This window comes from Homo sapiens, chromosome 19, assembly GCF_000001405.40.
Source record: "Homo sapiens chromosome 19, GRCh38.p14 Primary Assembly".
Lineage (NCBI taxonomy): Eukaryota > Metazoa > Chordata > Mammalia > Primates > Hominidae > Homo > Homo sapiens.
The window spans coordinates 17,813,924-17,823,220 of NC_000019.10; the positions used below are offsets into that span (position 1 = coordinate 17,813,924).

At 52.0% G+C, this 9,297-nt stretch overlaps 1 protein-coding gene across 2 annotated transcripts; it reads right to left on the reverse strand.

Annotated features, from left to right (window-relative positions):
- On the reverse strand, positions 2,589–7,596 carry INSL3 (insulin like 3). 2 transcript variants are annotated; one of them, NM_001265587.2, is made up of 3 exons: positions 7,394–7,596; positions 6,473–6,567; positions 2,589–3,136 (listed from the first exon to the last, which is right to left on the reverse strand). In NM_001265587.2, exons 1-3 carry the CDS (start codon positions 7,581–7,583, stop codon positions 2,948–2,950), a joined length of 474 nt encoding a protein of 157 aa, NP_001252516.1. In that variant the 5' UTR covers positions 7,584–7,596; the 3' UTR covers positions 2,589–2,947. The 2 variants fall into 2 exon arrangements, with proteins under 2 accessions (NP_001252516.1, NP_005534.2); NM_005543.4 differs by lacking the exon at positions 6,473–6,567.

Consider the following 9,297-nt stretch of genomic DNA (forward strand, 5'->3'; position numbering starts at 1 on the left):
GTTGTCAGCAGACTTAGGAGCGGGAGGTACAGGGTGAGATGCTCTTAGCTGGATTGGATGCTGGGCCCACCTTGGCCTCCTGCTTCCAGCAAGGCCCCCTCTGAATACCATCCCAGCCACCAGCAGCCTCCCTCTCCTTACCAGGCTTGCCTTCCCTGGTTGGAACCTCAGATCTACTGCTCTCTGTAGCTCATCCTTTCCTCCCCTCCTCAAGTGCTTATTATGCACCTGCCATGTGCTACACGCCTTGCCCTGTACTCCTCCTCCCTCCTGTGGGAAGGGTCAGCTGATACAGACCCACCTTATGGTGAGGAAACAAACCTGAAAATGATCAAATGGGAAGTTCCCGGGAGCAATAAGAGCTTTGAGCAGAATTTTTTTTTAAATTTTATTTTATTTTATTTATTTTTGAGACAGAGTCTCGCTCTGTTGCCCAGGCTGGAGTGTGGTGGCACAATCTCATCTCACTGCAACCTCTGCCTCCTGAGTTCAAGTGATTCTCATGCCTCAGCCTCCCAAGTTGCTGGGATTACAGGCATGCGCCACCACGCCTGGCTAATTTTTGTATTTGTAGTACAGACAGGGTTTCACCATGTTGTCCAGGCTGATCTCGAACTCCTGGCCTCAAGGGATCCACCTGCCTCAGCCTCCCAAAGTGTTGGGATTAGAGGCATAAGCCACTGCACCAGCCTGAGCAGAATTTAAATGGGATAACAGGGCCAAACACAGTGACTCATGCCTATAATTCCAGGGCTTTGGGAGGCAGAGGTGGGAGGATCACCTGAGCCCAGGAGTTCGAGACCAGCCTGGGCAACATAGCGAGACCCTGTCTCTACAGAAAAAAAAAATTAGCCCAGTGTGGTAGTGCCCACTTATGGTCCCAGCTACTCGGAAAGCTGAGGTGGGAGGATCACTTGAGCCTGGGAGGTTGAGGTTGCAGTGAGCCAGGACCATGCCACTGCACTCCAGCCTGGGTGAGAGGGAGACCTTGTTTCAAAAATAAAATGAGGCTGGGCATGGTGGCTCACGATTGTAATCCCAGCAGTTTGGGAGGCCGAGGTGGGCGGATCACCTGAAGTCAGGAGACCAAGACCAGCCTAGACAAGGCGAAACCCCGTCTCCACTAAAAATACAAAAATTAGCAGAGTGTGGTGGCATATGCCTGTAATCCCAGCTACCTGAGAGGCTGAGGCAGGAGAATCACTTGAACCTGGGAGACGGAGGTTGCAGTGAGCTGAGACTGAGCCACTGCACTCCAGCCTGGGCGACAGAGTGAGAATCTATCTCAAAAAAAAGAAAAAAAAAAATAGGCCAGCCGTGGTGGCTCACACCTGTAATCCCAGCACTTTGGGAGGCCGAGGTGGGTGGATCACAAGGTCAGAAGATTGAGACCATTCTGGCCAACATGGTGACACCCCGTCTCTACTAAAAATATGAAAATTAGCCAGGCGTGGTGGTGTGCACTTGTAGTCCCAGCTACTCAGGAGGCTGAGGGCAAAAGAATCGCTTGAACCCGGGAGGCGGAGGTTGCAGTGAGCCGAGCCGAGATCATGCCACTGCACTCCAGCCTGGGTGACAGAGTGAGACTCAGTCTCCAAAAAAAAAAAAAAAAAAAGGTGGTTAAAAATGGCTGCTCTGGGGACTGGAGGGAGTTGGGAGGATGAGACACCATCCTGCAAATCAGGCCTGGATGAGATGGGGCTGCAGGGCTTTCTGACAGGCACATCTGACCTCATTCTGCCCCTGCTCACACAGCCTCTGTGGCTCCCTATTGCCATCAGGGGAGAGTCCCAGCTCCCCTGCTCCACTGGATTGAGTAGTGTCTGGCAAGAATTCATGTCTGAGAATTCATATTCATATTCTGAGAATTCATATTCTGAGAATTCACCTCAGAATATGGGCTTATTTGGAAATAGGGTCTTTATAGACAGACATGAGGTTATCATGGATTAGGGTGGACCCTAAATCCGATGACTGGGCCAGGCACGTGGCTCATGCCTGTAATCTCAACACTTTGGGAGGCCGAGGTGGGCGGATCACCTGAGTTCAGGAGTTCAAGACCAGCCTGGCCAACATGGTGAAACCCCGTCTCTACTAAAAATGCAAAAATTAGCTGGGTGTGGTGGCGGGTGCCTGTAATCCCAGCTACTTAGGAGGCTGAAGTGGGAGGATCACTTCAGCCCAGGAGTTGGAGGCTGCAGTAAGCTATGATTGTGCCACTGCACTCCAGCCTGGGTGACAGAGTGAGACCCTGCCTCAAAAAAAAAAAAAAAAAAAAAGACTAATGTGTTTTGTGATGATCATTTTCTGACATTTGTTTTGTGTCTAATGTCTACCATTCTAAGTCCTCAATGCTAAGGACTCCCATGGGCCTTGGTAGAGACCTCGGTTCAAGTCCTGCACTTACCCTTCCCTGTCTGACCTTGGCAAGCAGCCCTCTCCCTGGGCCTCAGTTTCCCCACTTTGCGTTGCAATGCCTCTCTAGTTATCAAGCTCCTGGAAGTGCCGGTGGGTCCATGGCTGCTGGGGGACAAGCCCACACAGGGACTGACTGAGGCTTGTCCCTTTTTCTAGAGAAAATGCAGGAAGCTGCTTTGGGTCGTTTATTTACTAAGAGACAGCAAGAAGGGGTGTTACACATGCAGGGAGCGGAGCGTCTGGGGCTCCCCTGGAGTGAGGACATTTGGCTGTCAGTGTCCAGCATCTGTGAAAGCGGGGATCCTCCAAGCCAGGGCTAGGGTGTGATTTATTCTGCAGTTGACTCCACAGGCTGCAGGTGGCATTGGTCTGGGGTAGATAGTGAGCACCCATCCCAGGAGGTAATCAAAGGCCTGTAGATGCGAGACTTTATGGTGCTGTGTGGCCTCAGGAGCTCACCAGACCAGACCCTCTGGGCCTCAGGCCACTCTGAGGCTGCACCCAAGGAGGAATCAGTAGGGACAGAGGGTCAGCAGGTCTTGTTGGGTACAGCCACTGAGGCAGCAGTAGCGTGCAGGGTTGGTGGCAGCTGCACGGTGGTGGCGGTGATGGTGAGAGGTCTGGGGCAGGGGCTGCAGGCCAGGTCCCAGCGTGAGATTACTGTCGGCCACCAGCCCATGGAGCAGATGTCGTCTCTCCAGCCACTGTAGCAACTCACCTGGGGACAGAGTGAAACTCAGCTGGAACGGAAACGACAGAGGACATGCTACCCCATGCTGCATGTGCACGAATCCACACACATCCCACTGAGTAACCCACCAAACACTCATGCATGCAGATAAAAAGTGAGCACTGGCCGGGTGCAGTGGCTTACACCTGTAATCCCAGCACTTTGGGAGGCCGAGGTGGGCGGATCACGAGGTCAGGAGTTTGAGACCATCCTGGCTAACACAGTGAAACCCCTTCTCTACTAAAAAAAAAAACAACCAAAAAATTAGCCGGGTGTGGTGGCGGGCGCCTGTAGTCCCAGCTACTCAGGAGGCTGAGGCAGGAGAATGACGTGAACCCAGGAGGCAGAGCTTGCAGTGAGCCGAGATCACGCCACTGCACTCCAGCCTGGGTGACAGAGTGAGACTCTGTCTCAAAAAAAAAAAAAAAAAAGTGAGCACTGGCCCGGCTCAGTGGCTCACGCCTGTAATCCCAGCACTTTGGGAGGCCGAGGTGGGTGGATCACTTGAGGTCAGGAGTTTGAGATCAGCCTGGCCAACATGGTAAAAACCTGTCTCTACTAAAAAATACAAAAATTAGTCAGGCGTGGTGGTGGACGCCTGTAATCCCAGCTACTGGGGAGGCTGGGGTGGGAGAATCACTTGAACCCAGGAGGTGGAGGTTGCAGGGAGCTGGGATCATGCCATTGCACTCCAGCCTAGGTGACAAGAATGAAACTCCATCTCAAAAAAAAAAAAAAAAAAAAAAAGCGAGCACTTATTAAGCACCTACTGTACGCCAGGCACCTGGTTAATCCTCTCATCCACTCAACTCATGTCCACACTCACATCCCCAGCTGCGTGGGTCCCCATATGCCACCTGAGTGCCCCATGCCCTGCCCAGGGAGTGTCGGGGGTCTTGGAGCTACAGATGGTGTCAGTTTCCCCAACAGGTCCAAGGGTCCGTGAGACACCCAGAGCAGGTCAGAGACCCACCCACAGACTCCTCGTGGTACAGAGACATGCAGGGGTGTACATGTGTCTGTGGGTCCACTTCCTGGTCACCCACGCATGTGTGGTGGACCCACAGACACACACACACCCCTACGAGGACACACCCTTGCAGACCACCTCCCCTGGATCCCTAACACCGCAAGTGGAGTGGCACACAGAGACATGTGGACACGTGTTAACACATCTGCACAAACTTGTCGTATATCCCTGCACCAGGGCCAGGACTAGGGTACAGACAGGGAGGCACGAAGCCATCAGGATATTTTTTTGAGGCCAGGCACCGTGGCTCACACCTGTCATCCCAGCATTTTGGGAAGCCTAGGTGGGTGCGTTGCTTGAGCCCAGGAGTTCATGACCAGCCTTGGCAATACAGCAAAACCTCATCTCTGCAGAAAATACAAAAATTAGCTGGGCATAATTCTGCATGCCTGTAGTCCCAGCTACTTGGGAGGCTGAGGTGGGAGGATCGCTTGAGCCTGGGAAGGCAAGGCTGCAGTGACCCGAGATCGTGCCACTGCACTCCAGCCTGAGTGACAGAGCAAGACTGTCTCAAAAGAAAAAAAAAAGGACTTATGAAAATTTAGAGGGTTGTTTACCCTCTACCCAATCTGCAGTTTACAATTGACACCAGTGGTTCTCAAACCAGGGTGATTTTGTTTCCAGGGGATACTTGTCTGGGGACAGTTTTAGATGTCACAACTTGGATGGGGTGTGAGGCTATTCATGGCATTAGGGGGCAGAAGACAGAGATGTTATCTAACACCCTACAATATACAGGACAGCCCCACTACCATATACATCCCCAAATGTCAGCATCAGCTTTTTTTTTTTGAGATGGAGTCTCGCTCTGTTGCCAAGCTGGAGTGCAGTGGCGTGATCTTGGCTCACTGCAACCTCCACCTCCCGGGTTCAAGTGATTCTCCTGCCTCAGCCTCCTGAGTAGCTGAGACTACAGGTGTGCGCCACAACGCCCGGCTAATTTTTGTATTTTTAGTAGAGACGAGGTTTCGCCACGTTGGCCAGGCTGGTCTCACCAGCCTGAGAGTAGCTAGTCACAGCTACTCAGGAGGCTGAGGTGGGCAGATTGCTTGAGTCTGGGAGGCAGAGGTTGCAATGAGCCGAGATCACGCCACTGCACTCCAGCCTGGGTGATAGAGTGAGACCCTGTCTCAAAATATATATATATAATAATAATAATATTAATATTTTTCCCTTTTTTGAGACAAGGGTCTCTGTCTCAGGCTGAGTCTCATATTGCCCAGGTTGGTCTCAAACTCCTGGCCTCAAGTGATCTTCCCTCCTAGCCTCCTGAGTAGCAGGGATTACAGGCATGAGCCACCACATCCAGCAAGGTAAGTATTTTAATGCAATACTTTTAAAATAAAATTTAAAATATTTGTAAAAAGGCCAGGCACAGCGGCTCACGCTTGTAATCCCAACACTTTGGGAGGCTGAGGCGGGCAGATCACCTGAGGTCAGGAGTTCAAGACCAGCCTGGCCCGGGCACAGTGGCTCATGCCTGTAATCCCAGCCCTTTGGGAGGCCGAGGCAGGTGGATCACGAGATCAGGAGATTGAGACCATCCTTGCTAACATGGTGAAACCCCATCTCTACTAAAAATACAAAAAATTTAGCTGGGCTTGGTGGCAGGCGCCTGCAGTCCCAGCTACTCAGGAGGCTGAGGCAGGAGAATGGCGTGAAGCCGGGAGACGGAGCTTGCAGTGAGCCGAGATCACACCACTGCACTCCAGCCTGGGGGACAGAGCGAGACTCAATGTCAAAACAAAACAAAACAAAACAAAACAAGACCAGACTGGCCAACATGGTGAAACCTGTTGTTTCACCTGTTCACCTGTCTCTACTAAAAATACAAAAAAAAAAAAAAATCAGCTGTGCATGGTAGTGGGTGACCTGGGGAGTGGCCTGTAATCCCAGCTACTTGGAAGGCTGAGGCAGGAGAATTGCTTGAACTCAGGAGGCGGAGGTTGCAGTGAGCTGAGATCGTGCCACTGCACTTCAGCCCGGGTGACAGAGCGAGACTCCATCTCAAACAAACAAACAAAATACAAAAATTAGCCAGGTGTGGTGGTGCGTGCCCGCAGTCCCAGCTACTCTGGAGGCTGAGGCAGGAAAATTGCTGGAACCCGGGAGGCAGAGGTTGCAGTGAGACGAGATCACGTCACAGCACTCTGGTTTGGGTGACAGAGCGAGGCTATGTCTCAAAATAAATAAATAAAAATAAAATAATAAAATAAAGTAACATAATTGTGAAAAGCAATACTTTTCAAAAGCAATACTTTTAAATACTTTTAAAGCTGGACACAGTGACTCACATCGCTAATCCCAACACTTTGGAAGGTCAAGGTGGGAGGATTACTTGAGCTCAGGAGTTTGAGACCAGCCTGGGAAACAGAGTGAGACTCCCTCTCTACGAAAAAGAAAAAAAAATTAGCTGGGTGTGGTGGCAGCACCTGTATCCCAGCCACTCCAGAGGCTGAGGCAGGAGGATGGTTTGAGCCCAGGAGGTTGAGCCTGCAGTGAGCCGAGATCTCACCACTGCACTCCAGCCTGGGCGTCAGAGTGAGACCCTGTCTCAAAAAACAAACAAACAAAGCAAAATTAAGGCAAAAATTCATGAAGATCAAAATATTGAAATTTTAAGACAGGATCTCACCATGTACTTGCAAGAGCCTACCTCTCCTGCCTCACTCTGTTTCTGGCCCCTCAGGGGGACTCATGCTCTGAGGACTTTCTTTTTTTTTTTTTTTTGAGACGGAGTTTCACTCTGTCGCCCAGGCTGGAGTGCAATGGCATGATATCGGCCCACTGCAACCTCTGCCTTCCGGGTTCAAGCGATTCTCCTGCCTTGGCCTCCCAAGTAGCTGGGATTACAGATGTGCATCATTATCCCCGGCTAATTTTTTTAAAAATTATTTTTAGTAGAGATGGGGTTTCACCATTTTGGCCAGGCTGGTCTCGAACTCCTGACCTCTGGGGATCCACCCGCCTCAGCCTCCCAAAGTGCTGGGATTGCAGGCGTGAGCCACCACGCCTGGCTAACGGCTCTGGGGACTTTCACACGCGCGTTCACACACACTCCAGTGCGGACCCACGATCTGTGCACGCAGCCGGCAGGTGAGCCCTGGGCACATGCATGCAAACCTGCCCACCTCCCTGCACGTGTGCATCTGCGCCTACGTGCACCTGCCCCACCTCGGCTTCCCAGAGCGCTGTCCCTGCCCGTCCCCACTCACGGTCGCCTCCGGTCGCAGGCCTCCTGGCTTCGGTGGACCAGCGGGGGCCCCCGCACACGCGCACTAGCGCGCGTACGAAGTGGTGGCCGCACAACTTCTCACGCATCTCTGGGGTGGGCGCGGGGCCCAACGCGAACACCAGGGCAGGGCCCAGCAGCACCAGCGCCCAGGCGGGCAGACGGGGGTCCATGGTGGTGGGTGGCGCCGGGGCCAAGCGGGGACCCCCTTTATAGGCGCCTGGGCCGTCCCAGCTGGGGGCCTTGGAGAAGGGACAGAACATTCTTCAGGACCGCCCAGGAAAAAGGTCAAGGGTGGGGTTAGTGCCAGAGCCTTTCTCCCAGGGCCAGGGCCTTGGATGTACTTCTCCCAGAGGGAGCACTGGGCAACGAGTCTTTCTTTTTTATTTTTTTCTTCTTTTTTTTTGAGATGGAGTCTCACTCTGTCACCCAGGTTGGAGTGCAGTGACTTGATCTCGGCTCACTGCAACTTCTGACACCCGGGTTCAAGCGATTCTCCTGCCTCAGCCTCCTGAGTAGCTGGGATTACAGGTGCGCACCACTATGCCTGGCTAATTTTTTTTTTTTTATTTTTTATTTTTAGTAGAGACTGGGGTTCGCCATGTTGGCCAGGCTGGTCTCCAACTCCTGACCTCAAGCGATCCATCTGCCTCGGCCTCCCAAAATGCTGGGATTACAGGCATGAGCTGTGCCTGGACTATTATTATTTTTATTATTATTATTGAGACAAAGTCTTGCTCTGTCTTCCAGGCTGGAGTGCAGTGATGCGATCTCGGCTCACTGCAACCTCCACCTCCTGGGTTCAAGTGATTCTCCCACCTCAGCCTCCCAAGTAGCTGGGATTACAGGTGTAAGCCACCACGCCCAGCCACCTATTTTTATTTTTTATTTTTGAGATGAGTTCTTGCTCTGTTACCCTGGCTGGAGTGCAGTGGCACGATATGGGCTCACTGCCACCTCCCTATCCCTGACTCAAGCAATTCTCCCACCTCAGCCTCCTGAGTAGCTGGGACTACAGGCCCACGCCACCACACCCGGCTAATTTTTTGTATTTTTTTTGTAGAGATGGGGTTTTGCCATGTTGCCCAGGCTGGTCTCAAACTCCTGGACTCAAGTCATCTTCCCGCCTCAGCCTCCCAAAGTCCTGGGATCACAGGCGAGAGCGACCACACCAGGGTATTTATTCATTTTTGACATAGGATCTCTCTGGGTTGGCCTGTAATGGCAGGATCATAGCTCACTGTAACCTCATTCCCCTGGGCTCAAGCGATCCTTCAGCCTCTGCCTCCTGAGTAGCTGGGACTACAGGCCTGCAATACAATGCCCAGCTAATTTTTAATTTTTTAATTTTTATTTTTATCTTTTTAGACAGAGTCTTACTCTGTCACCCAGGCTGGAGTACAGTGGTGCGATCTCGACTCACTGCAACCTTTGCTTCCTGGGTTCAAGCGATTCTCCTGCCTCAGCCTCCTGAGTAGCTGGGATTACAGGTGCCCACCACCAAGCCTGGCTAATTTTTGTATTTTTTAGCAGAGACGGGGTTTCACCATGTTGGCCAGGCTGATCTCAAACTCCTGACCTCAAGTGATCCACCCGCCTCGGCCTCCCAAAGTGCTGGGATTACAGGCGTGCACCAACGCGCCCGGCCATTTTTAATTTTTTAATTGTAGAGGCAGGGGTCTTGCTATGTTGCCCAGGCTCATCTAGAACTCAAGTGGTTCTCCCTACTCGGCCTTCCAAAATGCTGGGATTACAGGTGTGAGGCACCACACACGGCCAAGTCTTCGCTATTGTCTTAACCAGTTTAAAGAGATGAAATAGATCAACTGAAAAGTAATAATCCTGCCTTTTCTGGGGGGCAGGGGGGAAGACAGCGGGCATCTTCCA